The sequence below is a fragment of the Homo sapiens genome, chromosome 13 (assembly GCF_000001405.40).
Source record: "Homo sapiens chromosome 13, GRCh38.p14 Primary Assembly".
NCBI lineage: Eukaryota > Metazoa > Chordata > Mammalia > Primates > Hominidae > Homo > Homo sapiens.
This window is the reverse complement of record NC_000013.11, coordinates 112642359-112662397: the sequence shown is the minus strand read 5'-3', so window position 1 is coordinate 112662397 and position 20039 is coordinate 112642359. Positions and strand designations below refer to the sequence as shown.

The 20039-nt window shown below is 47.2% G+C and overlaps 1 long non-coding RNA gene across 1 annotated transcript in view, besides 2 other annotated features; it reads right to left on the bottom strand.

Annotated features, from left to right (window-relative positions):
* The window catches only part of ATP11AUN (ATP11A upstream neighbor lncRNA), a 37454-nt gene extending 22100 nt beyond the window's left edge, over positions 1-15354 (bottom strand). Inside the window, exon 1 of the long non-coding RNA NR_164109.1 lies at positions 14800-15354. This is a non-coding gene — a long non-coding RNA (ATP11A upstream neighbor lncRNA). The remainder of the gene's footprint in view (positions 1-14799) is intronic.
* Positions 13754-14648: an enhancer, noted in NCBI's record as "H3K4me1 hESC enhancer chr13:113302064-113302958 (GRCh37/hg19 assembly coordinates)". NCBI's record gives its function as "activates a minimal SCP1, AML or CMV promoter by ChIP-STARR-seq in naive H9 embryonic stem cells {active_cell/tissue: H9 hESC(naive)}" and the evidence as "EXISTENCE:reporter gene assay evidence [ECO:0000049][PMID:30033119]".
* Positions 19556-19739: a silencer, noted in NCBI's record as "fragment chr13:113296973-113297156 (GRCh37/hg19 assembly coordinates)". NCBI's record gives its function as "represses an EF-1alpha promoter that drives an FKBP-Casp9 reporter gene in an ReSE screen in K562 erythroleukemia cells {active_cell/tissue: K562}" and the evidence as "EXISTENCE:reporter gene assay evidence [ECO:0000049][PMID:32094911]".

Here is a 20039-nt window from a genome sequence, read left to right as displayed (position 1 = left end):
TCTCTACTAAAAATACAAAAAATTAGCCGGGCGTGGTGGCATGCACCTATAGTCCCAGCTACTTAGGAGGCTGAGGCAGGAAAATCGCTTGAACCCAGGAGACAGAGGTTGCAGTGAGCTGAGATCGTGCCACTGCACTCCAGCCTGGGCAACAGAGTGAGACTCCATCTCAAAAAAAAAAAAAAAGAAAAAGACTCAAAAGCATAGGCAACAAAAGCAAAAATAGACAATTTTGATTACACCAAACTAGAAAGTGTCTGTACAACAAAGGAAACAAGCAACAGAGTGAAGACAACATATAGAATGGGAGAAGATATTTGCAAACAATCTATCTGACAAGTGATGAATATCCAGAATACATAAGGAGCTCAAATAACTCGACAGCAAAAAAAAAAAAAAAAAAATCAGATGTAAAAATGGGCAAAAGACCTTAACAGACATTTTTCAAAAGAAAACATATAAATGGCCAACATGCATGTGAAAAAATGCTCAACATTACTAATCATCAGGGAAATGCAAATCAAAATACGAGAAGACATTACCTCATTCCTGTTAGAATGGCTGTTATTGGAAAGACAAGAGATAATAAGTGTTGACGAGGATGTGGAGAAAAAGGAACTCTTGTGCACTGCTGGTGGGAATGTATAGCTATTATGGAAAACAGTATAGAGGTTCCTCAAAAAATTAAAAATAGAATTACCATATAATCCAGCAATCCCATTTCTGGGTATATAGCTGAAGGAAATGAAATCAGTATGTCTAAGAGATGACTACTCTCCAATGTTTATCGCAGCACTATTCACAAAAGCCAAGATATGGAATCAACCTAAGTATCCCACAACAGATGCATGGATAAAGAAAATGTGGTATATAAACACAATGGAGTACTATACAGCCATAAAAAAGAACAAAATCCTGTTATTTACAATAACATAGATGAACCTGGAGGACATTATGTTAAGTAAGCCAGACACAGAAAGCCAAATACCCCGTGTCTCACTCATCTGTGAAATCTAAAAATCCTGATCTCATAGAAGTAGAGAGTAGGATAGCAGTTACCAGGGGCTGGGGAGGGTGTTAGTAAGGGGAAAACAGGGAGAGATTGGTCAATCGGTACAAAGTTACAATTAGATCGAAAGTATAAATTCTGGTGTCCTATTGCATGGTAGGGTGAATATAATCAATCATAAGGTATTATATATCTCAAACTAGCTAGAAGACAGGATTTTGTATGTTCCCATCATAAAAAATGATAAGAATTTGAGGTCATAAATATGCTGATTACTCTGATTTGATCATTACACAATGTATACATGTATCAAAATATCATATTGTGTCTGCTCTGTTGATGGAGTAGCCACTCTTTAATTTCTTTATTAATAAACTTGCTTTCAATTAAAAAAATCATATTGCACCCCATAAATAAGTACAATTATTCTATCAATTAAAAATAAAAATAATGATTAGAAATCCAAAATAAATAAAAATCAAAACTACTACAGGTGACCTTGAACAACACGGGTTTGAACTGCATGTGTCCACTTACACACAGATTTTTTTCAACAAATGTATTGGAAAACTTTGGAGATTTGCAACAATTTGAAAAAACTTGCAGATAAAATGTGTAGCCTAGAAATATTTTAAAAATTAAGAAAAGGTTAGATATCTCATGAAGACATAAAATATATGTAGATACCAGTCCATTTTATTATTTACCAAAATAAAATATACACAAATGATTATAAAAAGTTAAAATTTATGAAAACGTATGCACACAAACACAGACTGTACATGGTGCCACTCACAGTTGAGAGAAATGTAAACCAATATGAAGATGCAGTGTGAGGCCAGGTGCGGTGGCTCACGCCTGTAATCCTAACACTTTGGAAGGCCGAGGGGAGTGGATCACCTGAGGCCAGGAGTTTGAGACCAGCCTGGCCAACATGGAGAAACCCCGTCTTTACTAAAAATGCAAAAATTAGCCAGGTGTGGTAGTGCACGCTTGTAATCCCAGCTACTTGGGAGGCTGAGGCAGGAGAATTGCTTGAACCCAGGAGGCAGAGGCTGCAGTGAGCCGAGATTGTGCCATTGCCCTCCAGCCTGGGCGACAGAGCAAGACTCATCTCAAAACAAAACAAAACAAAACAAAACAAAACAAAACAATAACAAAAAAAGATGCAGCGTGATGTCATAACTGCATAAAAATAACTGTAGTGAGTGTCGGGCGCGGTGGCTCACGCCTGTAATCCTAGCACTTTGGGAGGTAGAGGCGGGTGGATCACGAGGTCAGGAGATCGAGACCATCCTGGCTAACACAGTGAAACTCTGTGTCTATTAAAAATACAAAAAAATTAGCCGGGCGTGGTGGAAGGTGCCTGTCGTCCCAGCTACTCCGGAGGCCGAGGCAGGAGAATGGCATGAACCTGGGAGGTGGAGCTTGCAGTGAGCCAAGATCGTGCCACTGCATTCCAGCCTGGGTGACAGAGCGAGACTCCATGTCAAAAAAAGATAATAATAATAGAATAAAAATTAACTGTAGTGAGTACTGTACTACTGCAAAGACTTTACAGCCACCTCCTGTAGCTGTCATGGTGAGCGTGAGCATCCTGAGGAATCCCTTAAAACTCCGTGTGACGCTAATCATCTCCATGTGAACAGGTGTCTCTTCAGTACATCGCGTTCGGTAGGAAACAGTGACCTCTTGCAGTTCTCACGTATTTCTCGTGTTTGAATAGTACCACAGGACCCACACGAAGTGCCACTGGTGATGCTGGAACCCCCCCCCCCCCACAAGAAGCAGAAAAACGTCACCACATAACAGAAAAAGTGGAAATGCTTGGTATGTACCGTAGATCGAGGTCTGCAGCTGTGGTTGCCGCTATTTCAGACGGACGATTCATCTTATAAAGAAAGTAAACTTACGGCATCCATAAGTGCAGTACAGTCCCATAAATGCATTTTCTCTTTCTTCTGAGTTTCTTAATAACATTTTCTTTTCTCTAGCTTACTTTATTATAACAATGCAGTGTACAGTACATATAACATATAAAATATGTGTTAATTGACTTTCGGTCAGCAGGAAGCTATCAGTGGTTAAGTTTTTGGAGAGTCAAAAGTTACCTGGGAATTTCCGACCCCTGGGGAGGATCATCCCTGCCCCTGGAGAGCTTCGGGGATCCCTGTGATCTTTGGTTTATCTTGGCTTCTCTTTTCTGTTTCAGTCTGGACACTACAGAGATTTTCAAAAACTGTCTGTGAGGGTAGATAACATGTATGAATTTATTTCAAGTTAGGGAAGCTGGTATTAACAACATGTGTTTGTCTGAAAGAGATGGCATGACTGTTCTGGAATCCTGTTTTCCTCTGCTGGCCACCACGTGCTGCCTAAGAGGCCTGGGAAGGGTCTGGGAGACAGGGAGGGGCAGGAGGTGGGGCAGGGAGTGAAGAGAGAGAGACAGGTTAGAAACACCATGCTTCCCCTCAGGCCTGTCACATATGGACATAGTCAGGTTTAGACAAAATATCACATATTCTGCTGCTGACAGGGAAAAACAACAATAAATAAACAAAGTAGCACATAAATACAACTCATAGCATGTTCTCTCTTATTTCCAAGTACACAATGTATCGTCTCAAACTGGTGCACTGTCTCACAGGGGTTCCCAATATCTCCTCCATATTCCCGTTATGTACTAGAGGGTTACACATGTGTATGCACACATATAATACAAACCTAGGTTTCTATGTGCCTTCTTTTCTTCCTACCTTCCTCTCTGTCTGTCTCTCTCTCATTCTTGCCAATATGGCTGTGAGTCTCTAATTTTCACTTTATTTCCTGCAACTGACTCCAAGCCATTTCCTCAAGCTACATGAAGAAACACCATTCAATGAAGGGAGAAGAAAGCCTGGAAACGTATCCTTTTTAAGTTTATTCTTTCAAACTCAGAGTTTTGAGGGAAAAAGCTAAGCTAAAAACACTGGCATTTGCAAATGAAACTTCTTCAGCTGCCTGCCAGAGCTGTAAATTATTTAACAAGAGAAATTAAATCTTCACCCAGAAGCCCGGGGCTCTAATCACACAGCCAAGTTCGCTCAGCGTGTGAGCCCTGTGGGTGCACATTCCAAGACGCTGACAGCTGCAGACAACGCAGATGACGTGGGTTTGAGGCCTAGCCCCTAGGCAGGTGGGATGAATCTTAGCTGACTGCGGTGACCGGAAATTAGCAGTGCCGCCATTGGCAGGTGGCAGTGTTCCTCCAGCTGGTGAGATAGTCCAGGCCACTGCCCTGCGACTCGGGGGCTCCAGCAAAAGCCTGGGCTCTGGGCTCACTCCCACCTCCCTGGGACATTCCTGGTTTTAACACCGCAAGTCCCATCCTTCTGGGAACCCCTCAGTTTGGGACTAAGGGGAAGGCGGGTCCTTTGTGACCCTGGTGTCAGGTGTCTCTATGCACATGGCAGACAGACTCCTTAGGAGGGGGAGTCCCGTCCCTACCTCCTCCCCATGGGCTCTACCAGGAAGGAGGCCCCACCAGGATAGAGGTCCCATCAGAAAGGAGGCCCCACCAGGAAGGAGGTCCCATCAGAAAGGAGGCCCCACCAGGAAGGAGGTCCCACCAGGAAGGAGGTCCCACCAGGAAGGAAGTCCCATGAGGAAGGAGGTCCCACCAGGAAGAAGGTCCCACCAGGAAGGAGGCCCCACCAGGAAGGAGGCCCCAACAGGAAGGAGGCCCCATCAGGAAGGAGGTCCCAACAGGAAGGAGGCCCCACCAGGAAGGAGGTCCCACCAGGAAGGAAGTCCCATGAGGAAGGAGGTCCCACCAGGAAGAAGGTCCCACCAGGAAGGAGGCCCCATCAGGAAGGAGGCCCCAACAGGAAGGAGGCCCCATCAGGAAGGAGGTCCCACCAGGAAGGAGACCCCACCAGGAAGGAGGTCCTAGTAGGAAGGAGGCCCCATCAGGAAGGAGGCCCCAGGGCCTTGTCTTGGGTCTCTGTACTGGCTGCTTCAGAAAGACACCTGGTGCTGGCCGCTACCTGGGTCTCAGCCCCAGACAGAATCCAGGAGGCAGAAGAATCAGGTGGAGGATGTGTGTGTGTGTGTGTGTGTGTGTGTGTGTGTGTGTGCGCGCCCTGTGTGGGTCCCAGGCATGGAGAGTGTGTGTGTGGGTGTGAGCCCTGAGTGGGGTCCCAGGCAGACTCCTTCCTGATAAGATGCCCGTAGCCACCCTCGGCCATCTCCACCCTCCATGTCCTTGTCTGTGTGATGAAGAGAATTCTATGACCTCCAGTCCCACAGCGGCTCTGCCATCAGGGACAAAATCGGTGGAAAGTGCCCCTCAAGACGCCTGGAGCTCAGTGGGTGTTCAGTGACGTGCTCCCCCAGACACCTGGCGCTTAGTAGGTGTTCAGTGATCTCCATCTGAACAATCCGCACAGCATTCACAGGGGAGCTCAGGGAAGGCTGCGGACGGGCCCCAGCCACCGGCAGCTCTGAATCGCACCTTTGAGTGGAGACGCATTTGCTCTTCCTGACCTTGACACGACCCGTTTGCCTTAAAGGAGAATTGAGAGGTAATTTCCTCCACTGTTGTCTGAGAGCACCAGCACTTTTTGGATTTGTAATTGAGTCCTGCTTTATTTATTTATTTATTTATCTGAGATGGAGTCTCACTCTGTCGCCCAGGCTGGAGTGCAGTGGTGCGATCTCGGCTCACTGCAACCTCCGCCTCCTGGGTTCAAGCAATTCTCCTGCCTCAGCCTCCCGAGTAGCTGGGATTACAGACAAGAGGGGGCCGCCATCTTGAAAATGATTGGCACAACTGCCTGCATCTATGTCTGCAGCTCGATTTCACAGGCTGCTCTTTGTTAGAAAGGAAAATGATTTGGGGCTGATTTTCATTAAAAGGAAAAACCGCACCGAGGACTTCCACACCCTTACTATCTGCCTAATTTCTTCTTAACTCCTGTATCAACAGTAGACTGTGAAAAAATTAATTTATTTAAAACATTTTTCTAAAATCAAAGGTTTTCTACACGAATTATAGTAAATTATTCTCAAAAAGACCCAAAAGCATCAATGCCAGTGGAAATAACTTATTTGTTTTCCTACCGTATGCTGTATTTGGGGCTGTGGGGTGGGCTGCTTGATCCATTTAGCCAACAACCGTTTTCCTTTATTCATTGGCACTGAAATTATGCAGTTGTACTTTCTGCTTCTACCCACCCTAGCTTTATCTCAGATCTTGAGGTCAGCTCAGCCACCGGCCTGGGGGTGTTTAGCAGTGATAAATAAATGCTTAGTAAACAAGGCACCCACATCAGGCCCCCTGGCAGGAGGCATCTGTCTCCTAGGTTCTTTGCTTTATTCCACTGCTGTGGGATTCCCCCAAGGAGAAACGTTCTCTCAGACGATTCTGACCTTTTCTTGTGGTGATTCCTCTCCCTCTCACCTCCTGTCCACCTGGAGCTAGGAGGGGTTTTGGCTGCAGGGAGGTATCAGGTCCTCCTATGCTACTAAAAAAAAAGCAGAGTTTGGGAGGCTGAGGCAGGCAGATCACCTGAGGTCAGGAGTTTGAGACCAGCCTGGCCAACATGGTGAAACCCTGTCTGTACTAAAAATACAAAAAATTAGATTAGCCGGGTGTGGTGGCAGGCACCTGTAATCCCAGCTACTTGGGAGGCTGAGGCAGGAGAATTGCTTGAACCCAGGAGGCGGAGGTTGCAGTGAGCCGAGATCGCATTGCACTCCAGCCTGGGCAACAAGAGTGAAACTCCATCTCAAAAAAAAATAAATAAAAATAAAAAACCCATATTGAATTATATCACTCTATCATATTCATCTCTCCAGTCTCCTTGTGATAGACGTCCATATTGTATTCATTTTTGGTTATTGCAAAATATGCCAGAGTGAACCTTTGTCCATACAGATCACCATTGTCTCAGCGTGAAGTCTTAAGTGGAATCTCCACCTTAAAAGTGTGCATCTTAATAGATGATTTTCATTTATAAAGTCAAATTTCTCCCCAAAAGATTCTACCAATTTATTCTCCCCCAGCAGCCAAGGAGAGTTCCGGATTCACCTCCCTGTCTCTCCAATGCTGAGGGCTAATCAAATAGGTGTGAAATATTTAATCACTGTTAGAATTGACATTTCTCAGATTCATCGTGAAGTTGGTCAATTGGCCATTTTGTTTATTTCTGGATGCATATTCAGACAGTTTTACCACTGTGGTTTTTTCTTTTGTAAAATTTGTTGCATCAGTAAATTAGCCTCTTGTCATATGTTTGCAAATTTTTTTTGCAGTTTGATACTTGTCTTTTTCCTTGAAGTATTCTCTTTTTTCTTTATGCTAAGAAATGTTACTTCTTTTTTTTTTTTTTCTTGAGACGGAGTCTCGCTGTTGCCCAGGGTGGAGTGCAATGACGTGATCTTGGCTCAGTGAAGCCTCCACCTCCTGGGTTCAAGCGATTCTCCTGCCTCAGCCTCCCAAGTACCTGGGATTATAGGCATGTGCCACCATGCCTGGCTAATTTTATATTTTTAGTAGAGATGGGGTTTCACCATGTTGGCCAGGCCAGTTTTGAGCTCAGGTGATACCCCGCCTTGGCCTCCCAAAGTGTTGGGATTACAGGTGTGAGCCACCCACGCCCAGCTGAAACGTTAAGTTTTTGTAATCACATCACATTGTAATCAATCACATTGAGTACATCCAGGTCCTTGGTCCTGCAGTCCCCCAGCACTGCTATTTATAATAATCTTGAAGACAGCACCTTGCAGGGGTGTGAGGCCGGTGGGATTGCAAGCCAGGAGAGGAGACGCGTGTGCACGCCCTCATGCCACTCTAGACTGTACGGTTCAACCCACAGGATCATCACTAGAGCTCTGTCTGCCTCTGGCCTTCCCTCTCCCTCAACCCCCAGTTAATTGTGCTCAAGTACCTTCTTAATGTGTCTTGTAATTAGCCAATGTAAAAGAAAAAGCAAAGCAAATCGCGTTATCATTATTATTATTATTATTTTGAGACGGAGTCTCACTCTGTCGCCCAGGCTGGAGTGCAATGGTGCCATCTTGGCTCACTGCACCTCCGCCTCCTGAGTTCAAGTGATTCTCCTGCCTCAGCCTCCCCAGTAGCTGGGATTACAGGTGTCGCCACCATGCCTGGCTAATTTTTGTATTTTTAGTAGAGATGGGGTTTCCCCATGTTGGCCAGGCTGGTCTCAAACTCCTGACCTCAGGCAATCTGCTCACTTCGGCCTCCCAAAGTACTGGGATTACAGGCTGAGCCACCACACCCGGCTGCATTTATATTCATTGAGGTAGTTTTCTTGTGATGACAGTATTAGCCTGCTTTTGGTATTGGGGTAATACTGACCTCATACAGTGAATCAGGAGGTGTTCCTTAGAAGTGGTCTTCTATTTTTTGGAAGAGTTAGTGAAGTTTTGGTATTACTTCTATCTGGGCCTGGGCTTTTCTTTGTAGGAAAATTTAAAATTACTAATTAAGTCTCTTTACTTGTTATAGGTGTATTCAGATTTTCTGTTTCTTCTTGAGTTCATTTCAGTAGCTTTTATTATTGTAAAAATTTCCATTTCCTCTTAGTTACCTACTTTATTGGCACACAGTTCTCCTAGCAATCCCCATCACATCCCTTTCTGTTTCTGTAAGGCTGGTCAACAGTGTCATCCACTCTTTCATTCCTGAATTTGGTAATTTGAAAAAGTCTGTGAATTCCTGACCCAGAGGGTCTAAACATGTGGGTCCAACTCAGAACTGACCCCCACCAACAATATATCAAGTCAGACCTGACTCCCACCAACGATATATCAAGTCAGAACTGACTCCCACCGACGATACATCAAGTGGAACTACATGAAATTCTCCAGTTTTACTGGCAAAAATGGCTATTTCATATGGTTCAATGTAAAACATTGAATTAGGTTCAACTTAATAAAATAAAAATGAGTTAAAAATTGCTTCATTAAACAGTGTTATTTGAAACTGATAAACTCCCTTTCCTGTTCCTCCTTTTCTTGCTCTTCCTGGTTTTCTCATTTTCTTTCTCTTCTGCAGCCAAGGAACTGTCTTGGGCCTCAGTTCTCTGCGTTTGTAATGGAAAGGGGGCTGGGTGCCAGGACTGTGTTGGGCCTCAGTTCTCTGCGTCCATAATGGAAAGGGGCTGGGTCCCGCTTGAGTGCAGCTTTCTGTCATCTCTGCAGACAGAGCAGGATTGCCTTGAAAGGTGTGAAAAGAAAATAAATCTTGGCACCCCAAAATCAGTAAGCTAAAGGGAAAAGTCAAGCTGAGAACTGCTTAGGGCAAAGCTGCATCCCATTCTATTCCTTAAAAAGGAAGCTACTAAGATTAAAAAAGAAAGAAAGAAAGAAAGAAAAAAAGAGTGACATACCTCCCTCATAAGGAATTTCCCTGTGGACAAAGGACAGACAGAACTCAAACTCGCCCTCCGCTCACTGACATAGATGCATATCTGATGGCTGGAATTGGAAAGGCTGATCAGACACTCAAAAGAATGCAACCTTTTGTCTCTTACCTACCTATGACCTGGAAGCCCCCTCCCTGCTTCGAGTTGTCCCGCCTTTCTGGACAGAACCAACATACATCTCACACGTGTTGATTGATGTGTTATGTCTCCCTAAAATGTATAAAACCAAGCTGTGCCCCAACCACCTTGGGCACATGCCAGGACTTCCTGAGACTGAGTCACGGGCACTCATCCCTAACTTTGGCAAAATAAACTTTCTAAATTAACTGAGAGCTGTCTGTCTCAGATATCTGGGGTTCACAAAGGGCCCACAGTGTGCTGGTTTTGGTGAGTCGCTCTCTTTTCTGTCTCTCTCTGTCACTTGGATCTGACTCTCTCCTTTTTATTAGCATCTCTCTCTTGTAGTCTGAGTCCCTGTCCTCTCATGCCCAGGTACCCCAGGACTAAGGGACCATGAGATCTGCTGAGACCTGCCAGTGGCCACGACAGCTGCAGGAGCAGGTGACCTCCGTCCGTGGCCGTCTCCTGGCAGGGGAGATGGCGCTGGCTGAGTGTTCCAGTTTCCCATCAAAGCCTGATGCTCTGCAGACTAGACACGGAATCTTTCCCATGGGAGCTCCCAAGCTCCCTTTTGTCCTAATAGAATTGTAGATCTTTAATTTTTGAAGCAGAACTTCTTTGGCCTGCCAGACTCTTAAAAGTTCTCTGTTTCTTAAAGGAGGATTTTATCTGTTCAATGTTATCAGACAGCTGGAAGGGAAACTGCAGGCCATCTAGGCATCTGGTGTTAGGCAGAAGTTGAATTTTCGTTTTGTTGACAGGAACATAGGACAAGAGGGTGTTTTACACACAGCCAGCCTATTTTATTAAATAAAGTTCTCCATAAATGATGATGATTTTTTCCATGTAGACTAAATGACTAAGGAGAGGAATTTCTCTTGGTCAGCTTTTTTTAAGTGCTTGTGATATTTTGTTGTTATTGTAGATCTCAAGTCCTTGAATAATTTGGAGTTTTTTTCTCTCCTTCTTATTTCAGTAAATTTACTTTCTCATTTTCTAAGTCAAACTTGATAAGCATCTTGTATATTATGCATTATTCATCAAGAGCTGGTTAAAGTAAGAAAATTTAAGTTAGCCACTTTCTCTAGAATTCCCACTTATAGTACAAATTTCCCTGTGGTCTCAATGTTGATGAGGCACATTCATGAATAAGACATGAGTATCAGGAGGGCATTTTGCAGCAGATTCATATTCATTTTTGCTCCTCTCATTCTCCTTGCACAATAGCTGTGCTTTTCTTGTGCAGCACGTGAAGCCGGAGACCTCAGTGCAACAGAGAATCTTTCCAGTGGAAGAGGCTGCCTGATAATAAACCTCAAAGGCTGACGTCTTAAAGTGGGAGTTCATTTAAGGTTTTAAGTGGCAAAATGCCAATCATTGTTCTTCTAAATTTTCTCAAGGCCTTATCTGCTTGACAAGTGTTAAAATCAGGTGTGCCAAGAGTGCGCCATTTACACTGAGCCCCTGGGAAGTGCATGAGTGTTTTATGACATTTGGGTCCCAGGGCCTCGGAGTGGGCAGAGCACAGGGTGAAACCTGGGTTTGTCGTGTGACCCAGCACCTCCGAATCTCTGACCCACAGGATTCTCTTCTGCACATCACTCTACCTTCCTGGGTTTCTACTTGCTTTAAAATGGGAATTAACACACGGCTCCTCCCTCAAGGGTAGTGCCTTCCTTGCTTATAGGGCCTGGGATCACGCGGCAGTGCTTTGCATGCTTACACGCTCTGGAGTGATGGACTAGCTCACCAGGGCTTTAGATAGAGACTGTGGGCCCTTTGGGGAGCTGTTGTCATTGTTATTTTTGAGTTCTACCTTGAATCAGTCTTGCATTTCAAAGCTTTTAGAGAAACCCCTTTTGACTTGTTTGACAGGCATGAGGTTCTGGCTTTGCCCAGAGAAGATCTGTGTGGAAGCTTTAGCATAGCAGCGGCATTCATGGGCTTGGTCTTGTCCCCCGCTAAGCTGTACACCAGACTTCTCTTGCAACCTCCACTCTCAAACAAACAGAAAAACAACCATTAAAATGCAGGGAGCTCGATGGACCAGCACGTGACTTAGGTAGGAACAACGGCAGAGCTAGAGGAAAAGGGAACGGGCATTGGTTCTGTGTGGTGAGAACAGACAGCTGGCCGTGAACTTCTGGAGAATCACCTAGGGTTGTCGGTGAGTTGACATTGTTAGTGTGAAAGTCAGTGCCCTGCAGGGAGACAGAATGGCAACCCCTCAGCCACCTGCGCAGGGGTCTCTTTATGGCACCTAGCACACAATTGGAATTCTGTCTCTTTCTAGACATCTCCAACCAGATGATGCAGAGAATGAGGACTATTTGGCTAATGGGTCCAAAGATGGTTCCATGACTCCGTTTGGGAAGAGGAGGCCATTGTCTCTCTGTGTTAGTGACGCTTCTCCCATGGTGGTCCCCGGTTGCTCCAGATCCAGTTAGAACTTGAGACTATGAGACCAACCCTTTCCTTTTATAGCTGGGGAAACTGAGGCCCAGGGAGAGTCAGTGACCCGAGGGCGCAAGGCTAGATCACAGGAAAAGCCTCACCCACCCATATCAAGGAGAACATGTTTCCTTCGCAATAGCATTCCAGCCAGGATATTTTTGTTTGCTTCTTCTTATTATTATTATTGAGACCGAGCCTCTCTCTGTTGCCCAGGCTGAAGTGCAATGGCACAATCTTGGCTCACTACAACCTCCGCCTCCCGGGTTCAAGCAATTCTCCTGCCTCAGCCTCCAGGGTAGCTGAGATTACAGGCGCCCGCCACCATGCCTGGCTAATTTTTGTATTTTTAATAGAGACAAGGTTTCACCATGTTGGCCAGGCTGGTCTCGAACTCCTGACCTCACGTGATCCACCTGCCTTGGCCTCCCAAAATGCTGGGATTACAGGCAAGAGCCACCGCGCCCGGCCTGTTTGCTTATATTTTGTTAGTTGAAAAAATATGTCCATCATCTTGTGTTGGGAAGGTGTGCGGAGGCTGAGACCACCGAGGAGCACCCTTAAAGTACCATAGATGGTCCGAGTATCCGCATGACTTTTGTTTGGCTGAATGGAGCCCAGAAGCTGAGTTCAGAGGTAAATGGTTCACAACAAGGGAGAGAGAGGTCAATGCTTCACATAGAGACTGTGGGGATGAGCAAAAGGAGAGAACTTAGGAGGGGAACACAACTGCCCAGGAGGAATCAGGTTACCTTCTGCTGCATGAAGAGTGAGTCCCCTGCCCGTTAACTCTTCCGTACAAATTTCTCATTCCTGAGTGTGATACTGGATCTGCTTCTGGGAGCGGGGACGGGACCAGGGCTGGGTGTGGCCTCTAGGTGTGGGCAGAAGAGAAGGAGGGCTGGCTCTGTCTAGTGCCTAGGCGGGAAACAGAAGGCCCCTGGGGACACGGCACCTAAAGGCCAAGAGTAGAAACCACCGCTGCAGTTCTTAGCGTCAGATGGAGGGGTCCCACCGTGGCAAGGACCCCACCCTGCCTTCTGGAGAGAAGTGAGCATTTCTGAACCTCGCAGACGCTGTGCTGAAGTGGAGGCTGGCTACCCAGAGGCCACCTTGCCCCAGACCAAATGGCCTCTTGCAGCAAGATGTAGGAACTGGGCGGTCTCGGGAGTGAGTGGGCGCGCGCCCAATTTTAGATCAGCGATGTCAGCCAGTGAAGTAGAGTCTCGGGTGCCTACGCGAGTTATCAATGTCAGTTATCAAATGACGGGACTCCCAGCACAAAGCCAAGAGAACCCAGTGTGTTCTCGGAGGTACGCCGATGAGACAGCATCGCGTGGGAGGCAGCACTGACCAATCCCAGCGGCGGCCCCGGGAAGGACCGGACTCAGCGCAGCTCTATGTGGAGCTTCCCACACACCCAGGGCCCAGTACAGGGCTCGGCTCTTAGATGGTGCTTGAGAAATATGAATTGAATGGACGAATGATTGAATGGACGAGGCCAGGTGTGGTGGCTCACCCTGTAATCCCAGCACTTTGTGAGGCCGAGGCAGGTGGATCACGTGAGGTCAGGAGTTCGAGACCAGCCTGACTAACATGGTAAACCCCATCTCTACTAAAAATACAAAAATTAGCCAGGCGTGGTGGCACGTACCTGTAATCCCAGCTACTCGGGAGGCTGAGGGGGGAGAATTGCTTGAACCCAGGAGGCAGAGGTTGCAGTGAGCCGAGATCACGCTACTGCACTTCAGCCTGAGCGACAGAGTGAGACTCTGTCTCAAAAAAAAAAAAAAAAAAAAAGAGTAAATGTAGGAAATGTTGCTTTCACTGGTCTTTTGGCCTAATATATAGTATTCTACATTCTACCTGCATAAACCAGGTAATGCAAGGAGCCCAAATTTGAATACTCACAGTACTTAAAACCTGAAACTAACAAAGGTTAGAAAAACAGAATGAGGCCCTCTTTCTCCTGCCTGGCCCGGCCCCAGGCTCCATGTGGTAACCCTCCCCTCACCATCACCCTTGCTTTACAAACCCGCCCCTGCTGTGCTTTCCTGTGCTGCTGGCTTTATCTGAGCCCCCCAGGGCAGTCACCACCCTGCTTGGGCCCCCTGCTGCTGCGCCTGTCAGGATCATTGCGAGATCCGTGAAACCTGAAGCTGGGCACTCAGTACCGCTCCCGGCTGCAGGTAGGAGCTGACCGAAGGGTCTGTGTGCCCCCCGTGAGCCTTGACAACCTGGTCAGGAAAAGACTCGTCTCCATCTCCCATCTGTGGGTGGAACAAGGAAGGCTTTGCATGTGATGAGGAAAACAAAACAAAACAAAAAATGCCCATGAACAATCCCGAACTCTTCCTGTTGGCAAAATCCTTCCAGTGAGATTATTTTCACGAATTCAGTTGTTAAATCCGTAACTCAATCAGGCCTTTTAAGAATTAAGCAAGGAGGCGTGGCACGGTGGCTCACGCCTGTAATCCCACTACTCTGGGAGGCTGAGGCAAGCGGATCATGAGGTCATGAGTTTGAGATAAGCCTGGCCAACATGGTGAAACCCTGTCTCTACTAAAAAATACAACAATTAGCCGGTCATGGTGGCGCATGCCTGTAATCCCAGCTACTTGGGAGGCTGAGACAGGAGAATCACTGGAACTCAGGAGGTGGAGGTTGCAGTGAGCCAAGATCGTGCCATTGCGCTCCAGCCTGGGTGAAAGAGTGGAACTCCATCTCAAAACTACAACAACAACAAAAAAGAATTAAGCAAGGCCCCACCCAAGACATAGAACCTACCTTTTCCGGCCTCCTTGCCCAAGCTCGGTATGATTACAAACCAGGGCTTCTCTGTCGCAGGGTTGCATCTCCAGCTCAGAAGCTCTGGCTGGACGTGTGAGACAGGTCCCTTCTCCGAAGAAGCGGAAACGTGGACATGACACTGGCATTTCTGGTTTGGGCACCACTTGAGCAGACTGGCGTCTTCCCCCCGACGGTGTTCAAAACCCTGATGGCGTTGAAGCAAGGCCACCTAAACTCAGCCACGACTAAAACTCCACAGCTGAGCTTTCCAGCGTTTGTCGGTATCCTTGCTGTGTTTGCAAGGGTCATTGTTTAGATTCTCTCTGCTAAACCTGGGGATGGTCACCGTGTTGAGGGGAAAACAACTTCAGTCTGTTTTTGCTTTAAGCAGAGGTCTGCTTGGGTACTCTTGCCTGGGTTCCTACGAAGTGGACACACGAAGAAAGGGCCCGTTCTCTTTACTCCCCCACCCCCCAGTAGCACCCTGCTCCGAATTTGCAATAGCAGATGAAGGCCGGAGCTGCGGCCCCTTTCTCAGTTGTTTTTGATACTGAGGCATAAACAGAACAACATTCAAAAACTGAGGTGAGGGAATTAATTATTAAGCAGCCTACCACAATCAATACAATATTGCTGGTGTGTTTCCTTTTAGATATTTCTGGAGTTTGCTTTCAATATTTAATTCAACCCAAACTGGTAGGTCACCACCATATGTAGCTTGTATTATACGGTCACACACCACAGAAAGCTGAAGTTCTCGATGCAGAATTCAGGTGTGTTAGGCTGTGATTTTAAAAGGCTTACCCTTCCAGGGCAGGTTACAGTAAGAGACACTTTCACACACTCTTTTCTTGTCTGCCTTTTAAAAAACATAGTAGGGTTACTTGCTTTGCAAATTCTTCTTAAATTAACAATTTGTCAGAGTATTGGTTAAAGATTGTAAGAAATGGAATAATTAGTATCAAAGTGCAATGGCTGTGTTTCTCAGAATTAGTATGTGAACAACCAGATGAAAGTGGGGAGGAGGGAATATTTCCTTTTTAAATCACTTTAGGAGGCCGACGTGGGCAGATCACCTGAGGTCAGGAGTTCCAGACCAGCCTGGCCAACATGGTGAAACCCTGTCTCTACTAAAAATACAAAAATTAGCCAGCCGTGGTGACGGGCTCCTGTAGTCCCAGCTACTCAGGAGGCTGAGGCAGGAGAATCACTTCAACCTGGGAGGCAGTGGAGGTTGCAGTGAGCCGAGCCGGCACCATTGCACTCCAGCCTGGGTGACAGAGTGAGACTCCGTCTCAAAAAAAAAAAAAGTCATCGAGTTATTTTGCTGAATTATTGAGTGAATTCGCCTCTTCCCTGGCCAGCATCTCCTTAGCAGGGAAAAGGGGGAGGTCTGGGATGAGGAATGATCGGGTTGTCTGATCAGGGGTGTCTGTTACCAGCAGTGCTTAGAAACAGACAGTTATGCCTTCCCATGTCTACATGGTCGCCTTGAGCACAATTGCTCAGAAAAGTGACATCAAAATGCCCACCGTTCCTTCAAAACCTGCAGATCAAAGCAGTTTTCTCAAATTCTCTTCTTGCATTCTGAGATATGATTTCTACCTGCTGAGTAGCTGGTCCGACGCCTTCACCATTTTAGATGTTTCCTCCTGAGCTGAGACACTGTCCTGCTTTAAAACCTTCTTGGAAAGGACACCCTGGCCAGTCACTGACGCCTCCTGAGTTCATGTCCTAGGACTGCCGTAACAAAGTGTCACACACTGCATAGTATACACAACAGAAGTGCGTTCTCTCACCGTTCTGGGGACCGAATGCCCAAGGTCAAAGTGTAGGCAGAAACATGCCCCCTTGGCAGGCTCTGGGGAAGACCCTTCACCCCTCTCCCAGCCCCTGCTGGCTGCCAGCCATCCTTGCCATCCTCGCCATCCTCGCCGTCCTCACCGTCCTCGCCGTCCTCGCCATCCTCGGTGTCCTCGCCGTCCTCGCCGTCCTCGCCGTCCTCGCCATCCTCGCCGTCCTCGCCATGCTCACCGTCCTCTGTGTCCTCGCCATCCTCGCCGTCCTCGCCGTCCTCACCGTCCTCGCCATCCTCGCCATCCTCAGTGTCCTCGCCATCCTCGCCATCCTCGCCGTCCTCGCCGTCCTCGCCGTCCTCGGTGTCCTCGCCGTCCTCGGTGTCCTCGCCATCCTCACCATCCTCACTGTCCTCGCCATCCTCGCCATCCTCGGTGTCCTCTGGTTGGTGGACACATCGCTCCAGCCTCTGCCTTGAACGTCACTTGCTGGTCTCCCGTGTGTGTGTGTGTGTGTGTGTGTGTGTGTGTGTGTGTGTGTGTGTGTCTGTGTTCAGATTTCCTTCTTCTTTTTTTTTTGATATGGACTCTCGCTCTGTCACCCAGGCTGGAATGCGGTGGCACCATCTCAGCTCACTGCAACCTCCGCTTCCTGGGTTTAAGCCATTCTTGTGCCTCAGCCTCCTCAGTAGCTGGGATCACAGGCGCCTGCCACCACACCAGGCTAAGTTTTGTATTTTTAGTAGAGATGGGGTTTCACCATGTTGGCCAGGCTGGTCTCGAACTCCTTAACTCAGGTGATCCACCTGCCTTGGCCTCCCAAAGTGCTGGGATTACAGGCACTGCACCCGGCCCAATTTCCTTCCTTTAAGGACACTCACTGGTGGTTGCATCCAAGCTCACCCTACTTCAGTGTGACCTCACCTTAACTTGATTCCACCCACAAAGACCCTATTTCCTTTTTTTTTTTTTTTTGAGACGGAGTCTTACTCTGTCACCAGGCTGGAGTGCAGTGGCGTGATCTCGGCTCACTGCAACCTCTGCCTCCCAGGTTCAAGTGATTCTCCTGCCTCAGCCTCCCGAGTAGCTGGGACTACAGGTGCAGGTCACCACACCCAGCTAATTTTTGTGTTTTTAGTAAAGATGGGGTTTCACCATGTTGGCCAGGATGGTCTCCATCTCTTGACCTCGTGATCCACCTGCATTGGCCTCCCAAAGTTCTGGGATTACAGATGTGAGCCGCTGCACCTGGCCCACAAAGACCCTATTTCCAAATAAAGTCACATTCACAGCTTCTAGTGGACATGACCTTTTTGGGGGCCACTGACACCGCCATCTTTCCAGCCTGAAGCCAGAGGACAGGGATGGGATCCTGGGGGTACGAGGTGGGCTCAGGGCTCTGGCACAGCTCAGGGAGGAAAAGCTGATGCATACTCAGGGCTGTGGCCTCAGGCAGTGAGGGCCTAGGACCTGGGAGACTCCGGGAGCAGGGCAGGGAAGCCGGGAGAGAAACTCCATCCAATGGGCATCTGTTGCAGGTGCGTTCCTGGCTGCCTGCCCGTCTCACTCTGGCTCTACACAGGAAGCTGGCAAACTCCGGACACTCTGGAGTCAACTAACATCTGAGTCAGGGTCAGATGCAGCAGCCACCACTCCAGGGAGACTGGTGGATGGTCAGGCAATGGGGAGGCCGCACTTGCTTGACGTCCAACTGGGCACTTCATTTCACAGCCTAACAGGGTTCCATTTTGCTAATTTTAAGTAGGATCACTTATTTTAAAATAGAGACAGTGTTTATATTTTAGCCCCATGTCAGACTGTAGTGTGTTAATGAAAGGCAAATTCCAAAGTCCAATCCAGGGAGGGCACAGTAACATTTAAATAATTTACTAAAGTTTCTTGTGAACAGGTGAATGTCTGTATGCAGTTCTCATAGAAGATGTATTGAGGAGGCATGAACATACTTTTGTTAAAATCCAATCAAATTTAAAGAGTAAATTATTTTTCTAGGTCAGGTATGGTGGCTCACGCCACCAACAGTTTGGGAGGCTGAGGTGGGTGGATCACCTGAGGTCAGGAGTTCGAGACCAGCCTGGCCAACATGGTGAAACCTATCTCTACTAAAAACACAAAAAATTAGCTGAGCCTGGTGGCGGACACCTGTAATCCCAGCTACTCAGGAGACTGAGGCAGCAGAATTGCTTGAACCCGGGAGGCAGAGGTTGCAGTGAGCCAAGATGGCACCACTGCACTCCAGTCTGGGCAAGAGAGTGCGACTATGTCTCAAATAAAATAAAATAAAATAAAATAAAATAAAATAAAGAGGCAATAGAGACAGAAAAACAAAATACAATGCATGAACTTTGACTGGTTCTGTAATACAAGGCATGTGGGGACAACGGGGACATTCTGAATTTGGACACGATAGGAGATGGTATTAAGGAATCGTTACTGACTTTCTTAGGTGTGAGAATGGTACTTTGACTGTGCAGGAGAACATCCTTGTTTTTCAGAGACATGTTGAGGTTGCCGAGGGTGAACTACATGAGGTCTCATGAAGTGGCCCGGCAAAAAAATAAAAAAATAGATAAATAAAAATAAACATAAATAGTTAGGTGTGGGCAATGGGTTATTTTTCTCCAAACTTCCTCTAACGCTGAGATTGCTCATGATGAAACATGAAAACAGAGAGTCTGACAAAGAAAACTATTAGCAGATGACTTCTTGGTACAGATGTTTCAGTAAAAGCCCAGCCTTTCCGAGTCATCTGTTGGTGGGTCTGGGAGTGCTGGACATGCCACCTACCTGGTGCTCAGAAGGGCCCTGATGTGGGCATCGGAATCACGGATGCCCGCTGCTGTTCAGTGACAGCACTCAGGCACACAGGGACCATCCCTGACTTTCCTACCCATTTGTAATCCTTCTCCCTAATCTGGCATCTTACTTGTAAAGTGAAATCCACACGACTCTGGTTGCTCTTGGGCAGAGTTGTTTGTTGGTTTGGAGATGTTGCTGGAGCAGCCATGGGAGGCCAATGCCTCAGCCTTCCTGATAGGAAGGCTGCCTGGCCTAAAGTTCATTTGAAATACATGAAAGCAAGATGGGTTGGTGGACAGAGCATTGGACCTGGGGGCAGATGTGATAAAATGTCCATTGCTAGCATGTAGGAGTGGGTGGCGGGCAGGCGGCGGGTGGGCAGGTGCTCACTGAGCCATTCTGGCAGCTTTTCCATGTTTAAATTTTTCCTTAACAAAATATTGGGGGAAATATTAAGTGACAGAAGTGAGATTTGAACCAAGGCTCCAGGATCTGGGTTCTTGGCCACGGTGCTCCGACGCCTCTCAGGCAGGGATGGGTTTGATGGAATTCATGCAGCAAAGGCATCACAGGCCTTTGTGCAAACTGAAAAGTGTATGGCCAGCCCTCCTCTCCAAGATGGGA